General features: G+C 40.1%; 1 protein-coding gene across 20 annotated transcripts in view; it reads left to right on the top strand.

The window, feature by feature from the left end:
• RYR3 (ryanodine receptor 3) overlaps positions 1-22,867 on the top strand; it is a 555,136-nt gene that overhangs the window by 85,614 nt on the left and 446,655 nt on the right. The window contains exon 1 of one of the 20 annotated variants that reach the window (XM_017022470.3): positions 3,035-6,584. The exons of the other annotated variants lie outside the window; for them this stretch is intronic. Coding sequence (XP_016877959.1) covers positions 6,537-6,584 — 48 coding nt within the window. The 5' untranslated portion in view covers positions 3,035-6,536. Of the gene's footprint in view, positions 1-3,034; positions 6,585-22,867 lie in introns of those variants that run through there. 20 annotated transcript variants of the gene reach the window in all.

A 22,867-nucleotide genomic window follows, 5' to 3' on the forward strand; every position in this document is an offset into this window, starting at 1 on the left:
TGGGGTTTTGCCATTGCTTTCAGTGGCAAAAACTGCAGCTGCCTGTGTACAAATCTAATGCATGAGTGAAACAGGCTGGCCTCAGAGATAGTGGGAGTGCTGAAGACTGTGACAAACTGGAGGGCTGGTGACCCATCTGCAGAGGATACCTGCCACTCAGCTCCAGCCAGTTGGTGGTTACCGTCAGTGAGATAACAAGTGACCCAGGTCTAGGGAGATTTTTACCTCTCACTCATAGATATCCTGGGCTACAGGAAAGGAGATTTAGAGAGGGCCTTTTCTCCTTCAACCCCCCTTTATAGACTGAAACCCAGAAGAGTAATGCTTACATGACCAAATAACACAAGCCAACCTCTTTATTTTTCTGGTAATGAAACAAAGCCAGTCATATTTTATTAATACTTCTGTAATAAAGGCAAAAAATAACATCTGCAGAAAAATTGGAGCTTCTATATGCCAGAGAAGGCAACAATACATTTGATTTTTGTTATATATTGTTAACTGAAAAAATTACAATGTATAAATTTAGAAAAGGAGAAGAAAGAAAATTTATTTCTTATAAAGGGTTACAACCTGTAAGGTGCCCATCCCCCAGGCTGGGAAAACATACCTCCAGCCAAGACCAGAGACAGGAACTTTGAAGGAGGAGGGGTAGGGATAGGACTTTATGCTGAACAGGTTGGCTAAATGTACATATTCAGCAGGTTACAAAAGGAGCTATGAATATTCATAAAGGTGATACGGACACAAGCATATTAAACAAACATGCATGTTAACATATGACCCACGTTCACTTTGGAGTGGAGCCTTAACATTTCAATGTCTTACAACTAGGCCCTATGCATCAAAAGGTCTTTTCAGGACACAAAGACACACAGGTACAAAATCTGTGTAAACTGGCATAGACCAGTGCATGGTCAGTGGTCTCTTTTCAGGAGAAAGTTACTGAAAGCAGTCTCTTGTCCAATCAGAGCCGTAGTCATGGCTGGTGGAACAGGGGCATCGTCTGTGATTTAGGCAGCATCTGTGAGCTGGATGAGCTGTAATTGTTCTAATATTGCTTATCTGGAGAACAGTTCTTGTTTTGCTGCCAGAGAAAAAGAAAAACCTTTTGGCAGTGAGAATCATAGTTTATTCTTTAGGTGTGGGGTGTGTGACTTAACCCTTGCCTGGCCTTAGGTCTTGTTTATAATTTGGTATCTTATTGCCACTGAGAGGCTATTCTGTCAGTCTTACGATCTCTATTTTAATATTAATTCTGGCCAGTTGTTGTGTCTAAACCACAGAAGAGGGGGGTGTAATGAGGCCTATTTGATCTCCCATCCCATCATGGCCAGAAATTCAGTTTTTTTCTGGGCTCCCTTTGTCCACAAGGGGGTCTGTGGCCCATCAGTTGTTTGGAGCTTAGGATTTTATTTTTAGTTTACAAATATCACAAGCCTGGTATGCCAAATATAAAATCTATGTAATAATATATTTCAATTATTTTCTACAGTCCCAGCGAGATAAAATACTCAACTTGGGGCTTCTTTGAAGAATGATCTGATATAAATTTAAAGTAGCTTTAAATAAAATGGATGGTGAACACACAACATTGACAGAAATGAACTACCTTTTTCCAAGGATTTTTTCAGAGTTGCAAAGATCGTGTAAGGTCAATGGTCAAAGCAAAGTTGCTAAGTTTTTATTAGAAACCGTCAGGGTGGCCATCCATCCACAATGCTGTGGGTATCAGGCGCACCATTCTTAGTGCAGTAAGCAGTGCGAGGAACTCCTGACTTTGTCGCATCTTTACTCTAAAGAACATAAACAGTGAATTCTGAGTGGGGAAAGTGAATGGTGTTCGGCAACTTCACAGTCAGAAATAGGAGGTCTGAGACAGATGGGTTAAATGATTAGGTCACAGTGAATTTTGGCAGTATTAAAATGTGCTAGTCTGACAGAATGTCTTCAATTAGTCAGTGTATCTATACTTATTTTACTGTGTGTAAAACAAGAAATTTCTCCACGCATGGGATTTCAGGGAGTTTTGTTTTGGAGAGGAATTTTTCCCACTCTCTTCTCTCCCAGGTGGGTGGAGGGTGGAGCTTTGGTCTCCTCTTGTGAGTGGTGTCATGTGGTTAGGCACACAGCAAAGCAGCGGAGGTGGGAAGGGACCAGGAGGTTGGGGGGTGATGGGTGTTGCAGACCCACAGTGCAGAGCCGAGCTGCGTTCCTGGCTCTGAGGAGAGCGAGGCTCTGGCCTGGAGGGACTCGTTCACATGGCGAGCTGAGCATGTCTCTGACAGCCTGGGTACCTGGGTGCGGGGTGCACCTGCCAGGTGTCATCTCACAGGGCGTGCCGAGAATGAGCCTCTCAGATTGTGGGGGCATTGCCTGGTTCTCTAGGTTGAATGTTTTGTTTCCTCAAACTGTACCATTAGATGTTAATCCAGAATCCTGGATTTATACAAGGGCCAGGATTTAAATAGAGGACCAAGACTCCTAATAGCAGAGACACCATGGTAAAGAGCACAGGCTTAAGAATCCATCACACCTAGGGCCAAATCCTGGCATTACCTTTGACAAGTGACCCTTTTTTTTAAGTCTCTGCCTCTTCATTTTTGAAATGGAGCTAAACCATTGTAAGACTCATATGACATCATTTGTATTTGCTTGCTAGCCAATTTAAAGGACAGCATTTATAGCGCTATTAAGTTCTGCATTGTTACATTTCAATAGACTCGCTGAGCCAGAACCAAGCTCTCTTCTCCTAAATTAAAAAAGTGAACCCTGAGGCCAGGCGCAGTGGCTCGTGCCTGTACAATCCCAGAACTTTGGGAGGCTGAGGTGGGAGGATCTCGAGGTCAGGAGTTCGAGACCAGCCTGGCCAATGTGGTGAAAACCTGTCTCTATTAAGATACAAAAAATAGCTGGGTGTGGTGGCCGGCGCCTGTATTCCCAGCTACTCGCGAGGCTGAGGCAGGAGAATCACTTGAACCCGAGAAGCGGAGGTAGCAGTGAGCCGAGATAGCGCCACTGCACTCCAGCCTGGGCGACAGAGTAAGACTCCGTTTCAAAAATAAAAAAGGAACCCTGAAATTGCTGAAATTGTTCATGGGCGACAGCTGCTTTACCTGTACCTCCTCAACACCCCCAGGCAAGAACAATGACATGGTAGCTAATACTAAAATAAGCCTGAAAGAAAGATAGATCTATATCTATAGTTATAGCTGTAGCTATAAATAAATGTATGGAAATATGTGTGTATACATATATGTATATGTATATACATACAATCAAATCCTAAGTCTTCCTTTTTAATAACTTCTAAAATCTAGGTAGGACAGACATAGAAGTGCACATACCACAACAGAGCACCTCAATGAATTACTACACAGTCCAGACTCCACTCAGCTCAAGAAATGGAATGTTACTGAAATCACCAAGCCCTTCTCATGCCCCTCCCCTCTTCTTCTGACTCCTTTCTCGCAAGGAAAACACTAAGCTGACTTCTTATCTCATGGATAAATTTTGCATGTATTGAAATTTATTTAAGTAAAATCATGTATATATCCTTTTGTGTCTGGCTTCTTTCACTCAGCCTTATATTTGTCAGAGTCAAGCACGTTAATTCATATCCTAACACTATGGTCACCATATGTAAACTGGGACCATCCCGGTTTATACTACCGTTTTGGCATAATTACTGATAGCACACCTTTTCACTGTTGAAAGTGTCCCGATTTGGAAAATAAATGGAATGATCAACCCTACCTACCACCAACGAAAAGAGATGGACTCCTTCCCCCCGCCACACACACACTATAGGCTGCTGTTTTGTAACTTTTCCTTTAAAGCCCGTTCCTACTGATGAAGCTAATTGATGACACCTGAGTCTTTTTGCATTCACGTGCTGGGGGAAAAGCAGGTGAGCTCCTGTGTGATTTCCCTATTTAGAGGTCTGTGAAAGCTGCAGAGGGCTGAGTTCTATCACTGATTTGAAATTTCTTCGTGGAGACTTTCTTCCTTCATGGAGACTTTCTTCCTTCGTGGTGAGTTGTATGGAACAAGATAAAGCAACACGGCAATTTTGTAAGGTAGTAGAGTAGGGGTGCTTGCTTTTTATAGAGTCTTAAAACTGGCTTCTGTAGCAAGATGCCTGAGTTGGCTTCCAGTGGGGAGTGGTATTATTAATGATATTATCATGCTTTCCCTTTCTTCCACCAACGCATAATCCAACACATTAAAACTATGACTTGAACAAGAAAAACACTCTGAACCTTCTTTTATAAGTATTGCAGTACCCTTTTCTTACCTCTGCTCTTTGAGCCACAGTTTGGGTCAATCATACTGACCTAAAGTCAAGACAGCATGGACGGGTAAATTTGCAATACAACAGCTTGCCTTAACCACCCACTATGGTCTGGTCACCCTGAAATAACTGTTGGTTCTGTAACATATATTTTCTGGTTACTGGAACATGTGAAAGGCATTAGCAGCCCAGGGCCAAATATGAGCGAATGCCCTTCTTTAGCTGCAGCATGGGAAGTGTCCCCCTTGAGAGTGTTATTTAGCGGTCTCTTCTGCTCGGCTATTATGAGGTCTTAAAAACAGTACTGCTTTGTTGGGGCAATCATCCTGAAGGGCAAGTGAGCTAAGACATCCTTGAATGTATCATCTCCTGATGATAGAAGCACTGTTTACACTCATAGAGCACTTTTAACTTCTCACAGCTCATTTAAAAAATTATTAATTTTATCCTTGCAATAGCCCTGGTCAGGCTGGGTGGTAACCTTGTTGTCTCAGGCGTCTGATTTCACAAGTACACTGTATAGTGCATGAATTTAAGTCACCTGGTAAAATCCTCTGACAAGTCTTCCAAATCTTACATTCAGCATTCAGCACTATTCAGCGCCTATCACTGCCAGCTGAAAACTGTATAGCCATTAAGATGTTGCTGTAGAAATTCGAGAATTTCTGGCCTGTAGAATAATTTTTTACATGGAAAAACATTTGTAAAATTTTGCTTGAGGAAACAGATTACAAAACAGTATGTGAACATGACAGTGTGATGTCATATGGAAAAAGGATATGTCACCTTTAAGACGTGGACCACCATTTAACAGTTTTGAAATAAGGATACATCTCAAAATGTGAGTGCTCAACCCCTACAAATGTTGTTATATGGATGACAAATCCTATATTTGACAGCATCTTAGAATAAATACAATCTCTCTTTTTCTCAAATCTGTACCTATATAAGTAATTTAAAGAATGTCTACCAAAATGTTAACAGTGATTATCTCTGGGTGGGGGCAATGAGTGATTTTGTGTTTTCCAAATCTTTTGTGTTTTCCAAATTTGAGTACATATTAATTTCAACAATGGCTTTTTGTAAAGATAATATACAAGGCCAAGGACCACAAAGTAGTAGACTGAGAAAGATGAGGTTCTTCCCATGATTATTATAAAATAATAGATGGAGAAGCCAAACAGCTAAAATCTTCTGCAAGAATGGTTAAAAGCATCTACAGGTTGATTTGGGGGAAAGGAAATAGAAATTTTAATTTAAATGTTGCATTTCAACATTTAAATTGATCATAGATATTTTGTACAATTTTTGTACAAGACTATCCGGTAGGAAAGAAATTATAAGACACTAATAAATTCATACCTGCATCTGTGGTTGATTCATTTACAAGAGTGTTCCTGATAGAATTGGGAGACTAACAATTTACAGGTTACAGATGAAGAAGAGCCATGAATAACACAGCTGAAGCGGCATGGTTAGTAAATGGCAATGGAATTTGAGTCTCCCAATTTGATTCTCTCCCCAAATACTTGAGGCACACAGGAGGCTTTCATAAACCAGTTGTATCAAATATGGGAAAAGCATGAATCAGGTGCTTGTTGTTTCTGTCACACTTCTCATGTAAATTCACAGTCTGCCTTGGATAAATATTCTTTATTCATCAGTTTAATCTAGAGCACTATTTAGAGCTGATTTATGATGAAAATGTAGACAGGCTGTTTTTGTTAATACTAGGCTGAACTTCACATATTAAACAGCTTGGCTACATTTAAGCACCAGCTTTGAAGATGATCCATTCAGCATAAATCCTGCACAGACTAAGAGCATGTCAGTGAGAACTGCCCTAGGCAGAGGGGCCCCAGGACGACAATGACTCAAGGACTCAGAAGACTCTGCTGGGATATCAAATTTGTGTTTTGTCAAGTCTTAGCAGGACTTGGTGCTATTTGTTGTTATGAAATCAAATGCCTTATGGGGCCAGGACTAATTAGGTTGACCATGGTGTCAGCTGCAGGGAGGCAGGCTGTTGGGAATCTGACCACAGCTGGATGTGGATGGGCAGTGCCTGCCTCACTGCGTCAGCCACAACCCTGCTATGAGCAACCAAGTCCAGCATCAAATGGCTAGAGACATAGTTATTTAAGTGAGCATTTAATGGACTTTACTTTGATATTTTATTTTAGTTTGTATCTTTAATATGAGGCAGTAGAGAAATGAATGGTCAAGAGAGCTGCTATTGGACATGAGGAATCTTAAAGACTTCGTTTCTGAACCAGGACTCTATAAAGAGGTATGAAACTCAGTAACTGATGAAAGATCTCTTTTGCATGTTTTAATTATTTTCTTTTCAACCATGTATAGGTAGAAAATTAAGGCAATGTGCAATGATACTCTTATTCTTTTTAAACTCTGGGCCAATACCTTTAGTGAAATTAACAAAATAATTGGGCTTTGTGAAGCGGAGCAAATCTAGACTCCAAATGATAAGATACATGTTTAAAGCTATGAAACTAACTTCACAGTATACAGAGAAGTGCTGACTTTGTGTGTGGGGGTGGATGTCTGATGTTTTGAGTAATCGGAGATGAATTGAAATACTTTTGAAGTGTCAATAGTACATTTTTCCAGTAATGTGTATGCCCAATACAGACTAAATATAAATATCCTTAATAGGTAAATATATCAGAATCTAAAAATTATTTTCAAATTATAAATTTCACTACAGAATAATAATTGACAACTTTTCAGTAAACATGTATGATTCATTAATCTAAATTAATGTAATTTTAGAAAACATAAAATGAATCAGATTTTTTCAGTGAAATAGTCATAATTTTGTCTCCCATTTGCTTCATAGCTAATAATTCAAGTATTTCTAAAAACACTGATCTTAAATGGTTAATAAGTAGACTCTGTGCATAATCACATACATTGGTTCCTCCAGTGCCTTTGAAATATCTTTCCTCTTAGTTGGGTTTGGCTGAGTTTATCCTTTAACTAAATCTTGGATGGCTTTCAAATGGAAGCCAAAAGAGAGATTGTTAGCCATAATTTTAGAGGAGTGGTAAAAAAAAAATGCAATAGCCAAAAAGCATATGGAATATCTTGTCAATTGAAAGATAAACAGTTGTTTTGTATGGGTACATCTTGCTTATAATAGCAAGCCACATGTTACTGTTCTTTCAGAAGTGTTTTTGCCTCTCCATTTGAGGGATGAATTTGGTCGTAAAATAACAGTTAGCTTACATCTGGAGTGGTGCCTTTTATTAGTAGAAATGATGACAGGATGTAAAATCAAAATATTGCTTGTGCTGTTGCTTTTTAGCTTACCTTGATGACTATAAATGATGAAACATCTTGGTGATGTTTAGAGGGAGAAAAAATTCACTTTTATTGAACGTGTATGTGTTCATGTGCTCGTTTAATCTTTACAATGATTCTAAACGATAAACATTCATCCCTTCTTACCAACTAAAAAATGGGCTTCAGAGCTGTTAAGTAACTTGGCCAACGTCACACAGACTGGGGTGGCTGTGACCGTGAGACCAAGCTTGTCTGCTCTCAAAGCTCAGGTTCTTCTATACGGTTCTCTTTAGCCAACTGGTTGTTTATGGCAGAACTACTATCATTGAAATAGCTAATCCAACTAGCATATCAATAAAATTAGGGACCTGTTTATCATTTTAAATGAGGAATTACTATTTACTACTGTGTGTTTTTTTTTTTTTTACTTGTAACTGTTGAAAACACTAGGCTTCAGTCACTTTTCAAAGTATACAAGTCGAGAAGCTGAGAAGCATTAACCACTACAACAAAGTCTTAATACAAATGAGAATGGATAAAGTTCATAATAAAAGTATAAACTGGACTGAAATGATTTAACTTGTTTTTGAAGACTATAAGATAATTTTTCTTTCCAGACAGAATATATTCCTTTCATTTGTATACATAACTTTTATTTTAAAAATTTGTCTTTTTGGTATCAGATGTCAAGTATTTTAGGGGCTGTCTGCTGGAGAAACTTGGAAATATAATGAAAAGAGCATGTATCCTCCAGTCAGATGACCTGAGGTTAAGTCCTGGCTTTGCCACCAACTAGCTGTGTGACCTCGGGAAACTGGTAACCTTGGAAAGCCATGATTGTCTCATTTGGTAAATTGAACTAATACTTACCTCCCAGGTGCTGTGAAATCCCCCATGAGATAATGTTTATGGAAACATTAGAAATACGTAAAGTATTATTTGAATCAAAGGTGATGGTAATTTTTGTCAAACATATAAAACTTTGGTTTTCTTGCAGGAGTATTTTTAATGCAGAAGTTGGCTTAGTGATCTGATCCAGCAACCATGAGTGGTTTTCATTCCTTGAGGCCATGGTTCTGGCATTGGAGACTGAGGTTATAAACCACTCCTGATTCACTTCATTAAGAATGTGTCTTGGAGTTTAACTGGGGTGAGATGTGACCTTATAAACTGTCCTGTGTCCCCTCTCTAGGGATTTTCCCTGTGCCTTTTCACTGAGTATATGGCCAAGATTCTAGGCTGCTAGCACCTGGGACTATGGGAGGTTTTGTCTTGCTTTGATAGTAGAAAGAAAGAGTTGAAGAATTCTGGAGACCCATGAAACCTCCTTGGCATGCTGATGTATTTTTTTAACCCACATGTAGTATCGTGTTCAATAAATACTTTTTTAAAAATATAAAGCATCATAGTTTAGTCACTTGACTAGCTGATGCTTCACTGATACTTACAAGCAAGTAAGGCACGTTGATAGTAATGATGTATATTAACCAAGGCTTATTCAGTTGCAAGTGTCAGAAACCCAACTCAAATGAGGTTGCAAAGAGGGAAACTTACTTGTTAATCGAACTGGGTAGTCCAGCTGGTGGTTCTGGCTTCAGACCCAGTTAATCTAACGATTTAGACAATGTCATTAGGACTCTGCTCTGCTTCCCTTGCTTGGCTCTGCCGTCCTCTGCTTCATTCTTAGGCAGCTTCTCTCTGGGGGTGGGGCAAAGAGGCCCACAGTGGCTGTAGGCCCATAGCATCCTCACAGGTGTATATCATGGAGAAAAGAATGTGTCACTCCCTTCTCTATAATCCATATTGATTCCTGAAAAGGACTCTCAGTGGCTCTGCTTAGTTTATGCGCCTACCCTTGAACCAAGCAGTGTACCCAGGAGGACATGTTATTCTGGAGATCCAGTCTGAGTTACCTGCTAACTGCTATGGCTGGAAAGAGTGTCTAATGGCAGTAGGGAGGTGGGAGGGAAGGGATATCACAGTAGTTCCATAGAATACCTTCTGTGCTTTGTCATGGGTACATGGAAATAGGAATCCCATTGGATGCCAAGGAAATGCCTTCTTTTTTTACCACCTTCTCTGATTAGACAGGTGATTAGGGGAGAAGAAGTCCCAAGGAGTGGATCTATTGATAACAGATGGCTAGCTCCCTTGGACCAAATGTTTGACCCTCACAGTTTTCATTTCCCCTCTCAGGAATCTTTCAGCTGTCTCTTCCATACCTCTGGCCTCACTCCACTTCCATAAAATGTCTGTGATCTATCCCCGTCAGCATGACAGTGAAAGTATTGACCCATGATATTTAGTTGCCTCTCAAGAACATTTACTCTGGAGAATATTTCAAAGATAACCTTTCAAGAGCTGAGGAATAAAGAATTGCCATGAAACAGTGGTCTCTATTTGGGGTCAGGTTGCCTGCCCTACAAATCCTCAAATAGTACAGCAGAGGAAGCCACTTAGTTGGTTTTGGGATACAGGCTGAAGCCTTGTGTTCTGTATGATCAGTTTGAACATAGCTGAAAGTTAACCGTCAGACAAGGGCTTGTTAGTCGAAGAGGAAATAACTATCCCAGGCCATTTCATTGTTTTTTTTAACAAAAGTTTGTTGAATTCTAAATACATGCCAGATCCTAGTCTAGATTCTGAGGATAAAGCAAAGTTCCTACCTGAATTGAGTGTTTATTCAGATATATACAAGAAAGGGGATATCTTATTGAATTTGTGCTTCTATAACAAAATACCACAAACTATGCAATTTATAAACAATAGAAATTTATCTCTTATGGTTTTGGAGGCTGGCAAGTCCAGAATCAAGGCATTGGCAGGAATGGTATCTGGTGAAGATTGCTCTCTGCTTCCAAGATGACAGCTTGTTGTTGGATTCTCTGAAGGGGAGGAACACTGTGTCTACACGTGGTGGAAGGGACAGAAGGTCAAGAGGGGTCTAAGCTAGTTTCCCTCAGCCCTTTTATAAAGCACTAATCCATTCATGAGGGCTTTGCCCTCATGGCTTAATCACTATCTTAAAGGCCCCACCTCTTAATACCACCACTGTGGGGATCAAGTGTCAACATGAATTTGGAGAGGACATAATTGTTCCAACTATAGTAGAGGGTGACGAAGTAAATACATAATGTGACAGAAGAGAAGTAAAACAGGGTAAGAAGGATAGGGTATAAATGGGGAGCAGAGTAGCCTTACTGGAAGAGACCTGATGGAGACGAGAGTGAACCATAGATCTGTGGACAGAGTTGCAGGCAGCAGGAACAGGAAGTCCATGTTCCTGTGGTGGGTCATGCTTGGTGTGACAGAACAGCAGATGAGGCCATGGGAGCTGCCAGATCACCTGGGGCCTTGGAAGTCACTGTGAGGATGTTGACTTGTACTCTAAGGGAGATGGAAGGGGACTGCAGGGGTGACATGCCATTTCATCCAGATACCAAAACCTGAGAGTTTGATAGCTTTGATTTTGTGTCATTGGATGGAGTTAATTGCGATTCACATAGCTTCAAAGTACTGCAGTAGAAACCTTGACCTATGGTAGTGGAAGAAAGTGAGTAAAGAGAAAATAGAGGCATCTCTAGAAAACAGGAGCATAAAATCTGGAGAAAGGCATTTATTCCCGGCATGGACAGTGGATTCCTGGCTAACCATAGGTTATTAAGGTTAGTTAACATGTGAGCATTTCCTGTGGCATGTATATATTACTTGTTTCCCCTCTACTCTCATTCAAAAGAGTTAAAACTGATAGTGTTCCTTTGTACAGCATTGCTTGAGGATAGGGTTGCCTTATTTGGAAAAGGAAAAAAAAATGATATCCCAGTTAAACTTGAATTTTTTTTTTTTCCAGTTTTCATTTTTAGATTCTGGGGGTATGTATGCTGGTTTGTTACCTGGTATATTGCATGATGCTGAGGTTGGGGCATGAATGATCCCATCATTCAGGTAATGAGCATAGTACCCAATAGATTTTAAGCTCTTCCCGCACCCCCTTTGCAGTCCCCAGTTGCTACTGTGGGCATCTTTATGTCCATGAGTACCTAATGCTTAGCTGACACTTATAAGTGAGAACATGTATTCAGTTTTCTGTTTCTGTGTTAATTTGCTTAGGATAATGGCCTCCAGATGGCATCCATGTTGTGGTAAAGGACACGGTTTTGTTCTTTATCATGGTTGTGTAGTAGTCCATGATATGTGTGTTCCACATCATCTTTATCCAGTCCACTACTGATGGGCACCTAGGTTGATTCCATGTCCTTGCTATTGTGAATAGTGCTGTGATAAATATCAATGATTGTGTCTTTTTATTAGAACAATTTTCTTTTGGATATATACCCAGTAATGAGATTGCTGGGTCAAATGGTAGTTCTGTTTTAAGTTCTTTGAGAAATCTTTAAACTGCTTTCCACAGTGGCTGAACTAAGTTACTTTCTCACTAATGGTGTATAAGCATTCCCTTTTCTCCTCAGCCTCACTAGCATCGGTTTTTTTGACTTTTTAATAATAGCAATTCTGACTAGTGTGATATGGTATCTCATTGTGATTTTGATTCAGATACACAAATATTTTTAAAGTATAAATATGTCCCAAATATTGCATGCCATCCTGTATTTTATCTGGCAATCCTAGTAGGCAGCAGAGGACATAAAATTTTAGTATTTTGGGTCTCAACTTCAGTTGCTTCTCCTATAGAATAGAAAAACAAATGGATCTTTAATATTTATAGTCATCTACTTAGAGTGATCTATGACTAGAAAACTGCTCCTCACAAATCTGTCAGAGGGGAAGTAACATGAAATTCACTCTCTGTGTATGTGTATTCAGATGAGGAAAAAAACCCTCCAAATCCTAAATACCGCTTTCTCATAATGCATTAGGGGTTTGCTTTTTGATTGCTAATCAGTGGCCCTTCTGCCAGAGAGTGCTGACAGGCAGAGGATTTCTATAAACTTTCACTATCTAGTTGGCTTGGCCAATGGCCTAGGTAATTACAACCTATGTACTCGGAGATAAGAAATAGGCCTTCTTTAAGTTTTAACGTGCATGTGTACAATGTGCAGGTTAGTTACATATGTATACATGTGCCATGTTGGTGTGCTGCGTATAATAAATAAATAAATAAGTAAAAAACAAATCACTGATCCAAATAAACTTGAGTTTCAAAAAATCTAAAAAAAAAAAAAAGAAAAAAGGCCTTCTTGTTCCCAGAGACACTACCTAGATTCCGCTCTCTCTGCAGCTCTCTACTCTCTGATACTCTGTCCCGTGAACTCTGGCTGTCTTGGGCTCCCCAGGTGCTCAGCTCTATCTCTTCACCTCAGGCTCCACCTGGGTTTCTCCTCCCTGTGCCACAGCCTGGCTCTCACAGACAGGAAGTGGGACAGTGGTTGGGCCCACTGTTCTCCAGTTTCTGGTGTCCAGTGTCTTGAAAAACCATTGTTCCATATCCAGTATTTTGTCGTTTTAAAATTTTCCCTATTGTTTGGAGTGGGAGGGTCAATCTGATCCTTCTGTTTCATCTTGGCCAGAGGTGGGTGTACGAGAGAGAGAATCTTAGGAGTTGCCCACTTCTGGAGTTCTAGCTATGTCTGAAAAATAGCTGAATTAAAACTTATCTCTTAGAGGGGATCAAGAACTTGTCTTGTAGACTAAAAAGGCACAAGGTTGTCTAAGGAGTCAGGAAATGCTAGTTCCTGTTCTCTTTCTCCTTTAGGCCTGGATTAAAGAAGGATTGTAATCTGAGAAACTCCTGAAAACACCAGGGCCTGTGATCCAGTGATCCTGGAATTTATTTCCCTCACTTCGAGCAGCTCAAAGCAGGCATAAACCCCAAAGAACATAGAAGTCAATTTGAAGGAAACTATTTATATTCCCTTATTTTTTTTCTGAACATAGAAAAACCATATATCCCACTGTGTAAACATGGTCTGGGGCTGTGTGCACAGTGATAAATGATAGTGGGAAGAACAGTATAACTGGCCCATCTAATGCCACCGCCTGGGGAATCTATGCCACAGCACTGATTAAGCAAATCCTTGGGGCTGATCTGCTAGCTCATCACCCTCAGTGGCATTATTGCTCCTCATGTATTTTTAAATAACTGAACAGGAGCCTTTGATTCTTGAGAACACTTGGTTTGGCAGGCCCAAGGCTCCTTAATTTAGAATCATTTGAGTTGAATTGGAATGAACAGGCAGGTAGCCTCCATAGTGGAAACCAATTATTCACTACGTGTCAAGATGTTGAAAATGATTTGTTACAAGTTTAGACAAACTTTTTGTCACTAAAGGTCCATCCTCATTATTCAAACTCAGGACCAGTCATCCGTAATAGATTTGAGAAGAGAATTTGTCAGGTGAAGAAAGCCGATGTCTCAGAAAGCAATGAGAAGTCTGTGTGTACTTGATTGCCTTATTTTAATCTAATTGTTGGGGAGAGTTGGAATTGAGGCATAAATGTCTTTCAGAGGATTTAATTCCCCACTGTAAATTCTTTCAGTCTCAGAGTGATATGAGTGGCATGGGCCCCGCACAGCATGGCAGTGGGTGGAAGGCCACGAGAGGAACCATGGACGCTGTATTAGTCTGTTCTCATGCTCCTAATAAAGACATACCCAAGATTGGGTAATTTATAAAGGAAAGAGGTTCAATGGACTCACAGTTCCACATGGCTGGGGAGGCCTCACAATCATGGCAGAAGGCAAAGGAGAAGCAAAGGCACATCTTACATGGCGGCAGGCAACAGAGCTTGTGCAAGGGAACTCACATTTATAAAACCATAAGATCTCGTGAGGCTTATTCACTGCCATGAGAACAGTATGGGGGAAACTGCCCCATGATTCATTATCTCCACCTGGCTCTGCTTTTGACACATGGGTATTATTACAATTCAAGGTGAGATTTGGGTGGGGACACAGACCAACCCTATCAGCCACCCTCCCTCCTTGGCTGAGAAGCTGGCTTCTTGCTGGTGCCTACTTCTAAGTGCCCCCTACCTGGATTTGTCTTGCTCTGGCTGTTTGAAAGTCTGCTTACCTAGGGCTGAAGTTGTCTTGCTGAGCCCCTGAGAAAAGTTAGGAGTATTCACACTAAATTTAAATAATGTATTTTCCTTGTCTCTACACAACCCTCAGCCATCACTGACGTCTTTAGGGCATTAAGTAACACAGGCAGCTGTGCAGCCTGCCTTTAAGAAGTCTGATGACAGACATCTGTCACTGCAAATATTGAAGCAAACAAATCTATACGTTCTTTTCATATTTACATGGAGGAATTTCTGTGGCCACATGGATGTGAGACAGAATGAGATATGAGGATGGTTCAGATGGGATGCACACGGTGAAGAAATTGTGCCACCTGTTCCTTGGGCATGTGCTATCTTCCCAGTCAACCCACTGACTCTGCTGAAGATTATTATTTCTAGTTATTTACTAATTTGACAAAGCTGCCAAAATCTGAATCACAAACTTACGACCACTTCCACTTCCCCTTAGGAGTTCATTTTCCTGACTGCCCACACACAAAAATTTATGAGGGTATCTGAGGTTTGGAGCTTTCTGAGAGGCTGTGTCTTCATATGAAAATCATGGTCCTGTGCTGGTCTCCTCCCTCTGGTTGCACGGTAATGGCTTTTCACATACCACACTGATGGCCATGCCTCAACTGCAAGCCTCAAGAAAATAGGGATAAGACTGTCAGACACTTGGCAAGGGTCTAGCCTATCTTTCCTGTGTTTTGGATGTTTTCTGTTGTAATAATCAGCTCCATGAAGACCTTTTAGGACCAAGTTAACCCCCAAGAAAGAATTTGTCACAGTTGTCTGTCAAGAAATCTCATATTACTGTGAAGGTAATATCCAACTTAGGTTCCCAGTGTGTCAGCCACACCTGTTGCTGCCATTCAGTAGGCTACTTTGTGTATAGTTTCTTAGTTACTGAGAATAACTACTTAGGCGAGTAAGAGATTATAAATATTATCATTGAAATGAGGTAGGCTTATTTTCTTCTCGGATACAGTTGTGGGCTTGTGGATTCAGTAATTTCTGGTGAAGCCATGCAGCTTTTCAATTTAGTAACCCCTTTGGCTTGAGGCTGGGAAGGCCATGGGTTGTTCTTGGCACGGACTTGCCAGTGACCTCTTCCAAGTGCCAAAGGTATGTTCTCAAGCTGAATTTGGGCTTTGATGCCACTCTTCTCAGTGGGAGACAAACTGACAGCGGAAACCCTGGCTCTATTTAAGGCTTCTGGAGAGAGAGCAGGTGGTGATATGTGGATTTCCATCAAATAATTTGGTTGTCACCAGTAGGATCACTTTGAAGCCACCCTGGCCACGTGCATTGGCAGAAGTCTCCCTGCCCTCTGGAGAAAGGAGAGGAGAGCCCCACGGTTTCTCTTCTGGGTCTAGGGTTTGTCACCAGGCCCAGAAATATGGGACTCAGGCCTCTTTCTGCAGCAATGGAGACCAGGCCCAGTATTGGAGATGGGCTGGTTTGGTTGTAACTCTCTGAAGCTGAGTACTGTGGCTAAATCAAGCTCCCATTCCACTGCTGCATTTTCAGAACTGTCCTCCGGTTTGCCTGTTTCACACCCTCCCACTTCTACAGCTTCCTGTTTGCAAACAGATTTGCTTGTTAAATGGAGAAAACCAAGTTTGTATGCATTTGTGTCATGCAAAGGAGGAGGAAAACCAGTCTTCCTGGGGGAAGGCAGCTGGGGTTGAGTGTTGACGATGAGAAAAAAATTCTGTTCAAGAAACTAGCCTATGTACTCCATCTTTCTCTTTCTGTGCTCTTTGAGAATGAGAAATGGTCTACCCATCTCTGGGTCTGAAAGACAACTGTACCATCCTGATAATTAGGATGATGTAATTCCAAGGATATTATTTCATGGATAAAATGGCTCTCTTCTTTTGAAGAAATAAAAATGAGATGTTCTTCCAACCTCTTGAATTCTGGCATGTATGCTTCTAGGAGAGGCCTTGTTATGCCGTTTGAGAAAAGGGAGGGAGCTTGCATTTCCTAGAAAACCTAGTAAAAACACATTTGTATTGGCCAGTAAGTCTTCTCACTGACTTGGATCCTCAAAAGATTTGTCTTGGGCAAGAGTTTGTCATATCTTAGAAGCTTCTCAAAGACTGAACATTAGAAAGATATGCTATAATAAGTGTGACTTCCAAAAAGGTGTGAAGAACTCTTAAACCAAAGCAAGAGAAAACAGTCCAATTCCTAGTGGAAGCGTCATGTGACGAAAGGTGGGGAGAGCAAACAAGACAGTCCAGTCATTGCCACTGAGAGCTCCCTGTGTGCTTCCTCAGAGCTTTCTTAGCAGGTCAAGGAGATATCACTGTTCTGATTTAGGGACAGGAGTGTGGCCAGCAGGGGCTGTCATCTTCATGAAAAGAGATATGTGGTCTGCAGACTGACTTCTGATCTAGGACTGGTCAAAATTGCAAAGTGGGTCAAATGTGTTTAAAGGGCCTCTGCACTGAGGTCCTTACCCAGTGCCTGGTGCCCCCATGCTGTGCAGCAGGCCTGTGGTCCTGTTCCCCCCCGCTCAGCTCTGCGCTGTTTCTGGGCCCCTGAGTCATTCTTTGCCACCTTTCCCATCAAAGTTTACCTGTCTTTTTCCCCATGTATTTGGGATTCATTATCCTATTAACTTTTTTACCATGATTGGTAATAGTCTTAATAACTTAGAGTATTGTCATATTTATATTTGAAAAAGCTCTTAGTGGCTATTTTTGCAAAGTAAGGAGAGGGAATTCCAAGTACGATGGCAGGCCATCAAGGAGGTTTCTCAGGATTAATGTCATTTAAACATCTGAGATACATTTAGAATGAATGCTACTATACTAATAAAACATTAAAATGTATATCAAATTACCTAATGAATCTGTTTCTACTTGTTATATATTCGTACCTTCAGGAGTCCCAGATTCTACTTCACCCCCTTGTTAAACAACAGAAATTAATTAGTCATACTATAAAATTATAAAAATTTCATTGACTTAAAGTATTACATGATAAAAATTACAAAAATATTAGAAAAGAGAATGTGATTAAAAAGAGGCAAACAACTAGAGACTTCCTGGAAAATAAGGACTTCGAGCTGAAATTTTTAAATGGTTTGGAGAGTGGTATTGTAAGCTAGTGGTAGAAAGTTATGTTGTGTGCTGGGTCTGTATAGCTAAAGTTCTGGAGACCAAAGAGAAAAAAAGACTGTGCTGACCCACAGTATGTAAGATATGGAGGTCTCCATGGTTATCTTGCTTATAGTTCTAAATATATAACAAAACAACTCTGGCTCCCAGACCAAGAAAGACAGCTTCCTCAACATTTTGGGTGTGAGTGAAGCCAGACAATATTTGAATCTTGACTCAGAAGCAGTGACAGGATGTGTCATGTCTGAGAGGCACCTTGAAGTTTGAATAAGTAATTTTTATTTTTTTTGGATGGAGTCTCGCTCTGTCGCCCAGGCTGGAGTGCAGTGGCGTGATCTCAGCTCACTGCAAGCTCCGCCTCCTGGGTTCACGCCATTCCCGCGCCTCAGCCTCCCAAGTAGCTGGGACTATAGGCACCCGCTAATTTTTTTGTATTTTTAGTAGAGACAGGGTTTCACCGTGTTAGCCAGGATGGTCTTGATCTCCTGGCCTCGTGATCCGCCCACCTAAGGCCTCCCAAAGTGCTGGGATTACAGGCGTGAGCCACCGCGCCGGCCTTAATAAGTACTTTGTGTGGTTTATCAATAACCTGCCAATCATCTTTGTGCCTGATAACTTCTGGGTTATATATAGGCACCCCCTCAAATATGTCAATGCATTTGGATTAATAAGACACTCTGTCCAGTATGGTAGCCACTGGCCATATGTGGCTGTTGAGCACCTGGAGTGTGGCCAGTCCAAACTGAGATGTGTTAAGTATAAGAGGCATGTTGTGGATTTCAGAGATTTAGTATGAAAAAAGAATGCAAAGTATCTCAAGAATGACAACTTTTTATTGATTATAACTTGAAATGATGGTATTTTAGATATATTGGGTTGAGTAAATATGATTGAACTACCAGTCCTTTTTACTTTTTATTAATGTGGCTACTAGAAAAGTTAAAATTACATACGTGTCTAGCAGTGTATTTCTATAGGACAGCACAGGCATGGATATTCATGTGTGTATACAGCTGTAAAAATTTTTCAGATATTTCCATATTTTCCCTTTTCTCTTTCATTTAATAATTTGCATGACTGTAAGGGACCTGAATTACAAAGGTGAATAAAGATTCCATATGTTCCACATACTCAGCAGCTTACCATTTGGTGAAAGAGATACTCTTTTTTAAAAAAAAAAAAATTACAGTACAGTATGTAAGGGCTGTAATAGAGAAGTGTACCAGTGCTATAGGAGAACAGAGGAGAAAGACCGTGAGACCACTGCAAGCAAAGACCGTGAGACCACTGAGTGGGCAAAGGCTTCAGAGAGGAGTTCACATTTGAACTAGACTCAATTTTATTTAGTTTTTTACAAGACATAATTTATTTCCTTTTTTTAAAAAAATTTAGATTTGAGGGTACATGTGCAGCTTTGTTACTTGGGTATATTGTGTGATGCTGAGATTTGGGTCTCGAATGACCCCATCACCCACATAGTGAACATAGTGCCCAATAGGTAGTTTTTCAACCCTTCTCCCCACCTTCATCCCTCCCTCCCTCTTTTTGGATTCCCCAGTGTTCATTGTTCCCATCTTTGCGTGTAGCCAATTTTTAGCTCCTACTTGTAAGTGAGAACATCTGGGTTTCTGTTTCTGTGTTAATTCACTTAGGATAATGGCCTCCAGCTGCATCCATGTTGCTATAAAGGTCATGATTTCATTCTTTTTTATGGCTATGTAGCATTCCATAGTATATATATCCCACATTTTCTTTATCTAATCCACCATTGATGGGCGCCCAGGCTGATTTTATGTCTTTGCTCTTGTAAATAGTGCTGCAGTGAACATAATGAGTGCATGTGTCTTTTTGGTAGAACGATTTAATTTCCTTTGGATATATATCCAGCAATTGGATTGCTGGGTCAAATGGTAATTCTGTTTTTAGTTATTTAAGAAATCTCCAAGCTGCTTTCCACAGGGGCTGAGCTAATTTGCATTGCTACCAATAGCAATAAGCATTCTCTTTTCTCTACAACCTTGCCAGTATCTGTTATTTTTTGACTTTTTAATAGTAGCCATTCTGACTGGTGTGAGATGGTATCTCATTGTGGTTTTTATTTGCATTTCTCTAATAATTAGTAATGATGAGCATTTTTCATATATTTGGCTATTTGTATGTCTTTTGAGAAATGTCTGTCCTTCGCTTACTTTTTAATGGGTTATATGTTTTTTTCTTCTTGATTTTAAGCTCCTTATAGATTCTGGATATTAGTCCTTTGTCAGATGCACAGTTTGCAAATATATTTTCTCCTATTCTGTAGGTTCGTTGTTTACTCTGTTGATAGTTTCTTTTGCTGGGCAGAAGCTCTTTAGCTTACTTAGGTCCCAATTGTCAATTTTTGTTTCTGTTACATTTGCTTTTGAGGACTTAGTCATAACTTTTTTGCCTAGGCCAATGTCTGGAACAGTATTTCCTACATCTTCTTGTAGGATTTTTATGGTGTGAGGTCGTACATTTAAGTCTTTAATCCATCTTGAGTTAATTTTCATATATGGTGAGAGGTAGGAATCCAGTTTCATTTTTCTGCATATGGTTAGACAGTTTTCCCAGCACCATTTATTAAATAGGGTGTCCTTTCCCCATTGTTTATTTTTGTTGACTTTGTTGAAGATTGGTTGGTTTAAAGTGTGTGGCTTTATTTCAGTAGTCCCTATTCAGTTCTATTCATGTATGTGTCTATTTTTGTACCAGTACCATGCTATTTTGGTTACTGTAGCCTTGTAGTATAGTTTGAAGTCAGATAATGTGATGTCTCCAGCTTTTTTCTTTTTGCTTAGGCTTGCCGTGGCTATTTGGGGCTTTTTTGGTTTCATATGAATTTTAGGACAGTTTTTTCTAATTCTGTAAAAAATAATATTGGTAATTTGATAGGAATAGCACTTAATTTGTAGATTGCTCTGGAAGTATGGACATTTTAATGATATTGATTCTTCCTATTCATGAGCATGGAATGTCTCTCCATTTGTTTGTGTTGCTTATGGTCCCTTTCAGCTGTGTTTTGTAGTTCTCCTATAAAGATCTTTCACCTCCTTGATAAGATGTATTCCTAGGTATTTTATGTTTTTGTGGCCATCGTAAGTGAGATTGTATCATCTATTTGGTTTTCAGCTTGACCGTTATTGGTGTGTAGAAATACTACTGATTTTTGTACATTGATTTTTGTATCCTGAGACTTTGCTAAAGTTATCAGGTCTAGGAGTCATTTGGCGGAATCTTTAGGATTTTCTAGGTATAGAATCATGTCCTCAGTGAAGAGAGATAATTTGACTTCCTCTTTTTCTATTCGTATGCCTTTTATTTATTTCTCTTGACTGATTGCTCTGGCTAGGACTTCCAGTACTATGTTGAATAAGAGCAGTGGGAATGGACATCCTTGTCTTGTTCCGGTTCACAGTGGGGTTGCTTTCAGTTTTTGCCCCTTCGGTATGATAATGGCTGTGAGTTCATCATAGATGGCTTTTATCATTTTGAGGTATGTTCCTTTGATGCCTAGTTTGTTGAGGGTTTTTATCATGATGTTGGATTTTATTGAACGTTTTTTCTTCATCTATTGAGATGATCATATGGTTTTTGTTTTTAATTCTACTTATGTGGTGAATCACATCAAATTGCGTATGTTGAACCATCTTTGCGTCACAGATATAATGCTCACTTGATCATGGTGAATTTTCAGTGTGCTGCTGGATTCAGTTTGCTAGTATTTTGTTAATGATTTTTGTGTCTACATTCATTGGGGATATTGGACTACATTCATTAGGGATAGTTTTGTTATTGTTTCTTTGCCAGATTTGGGTATCAGAATGACACTAGTTTTATAGAATGAGTTAGAGAGGAGTCCCTCTTCCTCGATTTTTTGGAATAGTTTCAGTAGGATTGGTACTAGCTATTCTTTGTAAATCTGATAGAATTCGGCTGCAAATCCATCTGGTCCAGGGCTTTTTCTCGTTGGCAGGTTTTTTTTTTTTATTATTATTGATTCGTCTTTTATTACTGATTTACTCATTATTGGTCTTGAACTGGACTTTAAACGAGAGTAGAAATAGACCAGGTAGAGAAAATGGCAAGAACATTTTTCAGGTAGAGAAAAAAGCACAAGGGAAGATGGTGAGAAATGGAAGAGCTGGACAGAGTGGGTTTCAGCAAGAGTTGAGGGTGGCCAGACAGGTAGCAAGAGGAGGAAAGATGACCCTGGAAGGGTAGTTGGAGAAACTGGACTTTATCTTATAGAATGAGGCTAACCTATAGTGATATGTCAATAAGCAGTGACATCAAATTTGTGTTTTAAGACAACTACCCCCTGGAAGCAGTGTAACTAAGGAACTGGGGAAGGCAAAGATAGACATCCCAGAAAAACCAAGCCCTAACTTTACACACTGGGGGTAGAGATAAAGCCAAGGGGACACATTCACAAAATACTTAGGTGGTATAGAAGACAGGATCTGGAAGTTGAATTGCTTTGGTGGAGAATCAAGGCAATAAGCTAGCATGAGGACAGGAGAAACCAGAACGCAATGAGTTAAGGAATTAGTGGAAGCAAAGAAGAGGTAATATGAGGATAGATGGCTTTATTTCCAGAAGCTCCAAGGTGCAGGCAAACACAGAAAGGTGAGCAGCTTTTGATGGGAGGACAAAGAGGTGTGGTATGGTGTACAGCCATCCTGCTTATGTGTTTTATATGTGCTTTATATGCATTTAAGCCTTTGGGCTGGGGAGCAGGACCAAGTAGAAAGAAAGAGATTAGAGATATAAAAGCGAGGGAATAATGAATGGGAAAAGCTTCCTGAGGAAGCCTGGGCAGGGACTGAGAAGCAAGAATTATTAGGCAAAGGAGAATCAGGTAAATTTGAAAAAGCCACTGTGAGAAACTGAGATTGCTGAAACCCTCAGTTCTGCCTCTTTTAGTAATAGAGGCCAAGCACATTGAAATTCTTCAACCAAATCATTTTAGAGGTGTCAGTCCAGTTCCTACTTGCAGTTGACTTTCGGGAAGGGATGGGAAATCCATTTCAGGTGGAAAAGTTGGCTTTTGGAGGTGCATTGTGTGCCAGGAAGTAATCAGTCAGACGTTAGA

This window comes from Homo sapiens, chromosome 15 (genome assembly GCF_000001405.40).
Source record: "Homo sapiens chromosome 15, GRCh38.p14 Primary Assembly".
Lineage (NCBI taxonomy): Eukaryota > Metazoa > Chordata > Mammalia > Primates > Hominidae > Homo > Homo sapiens.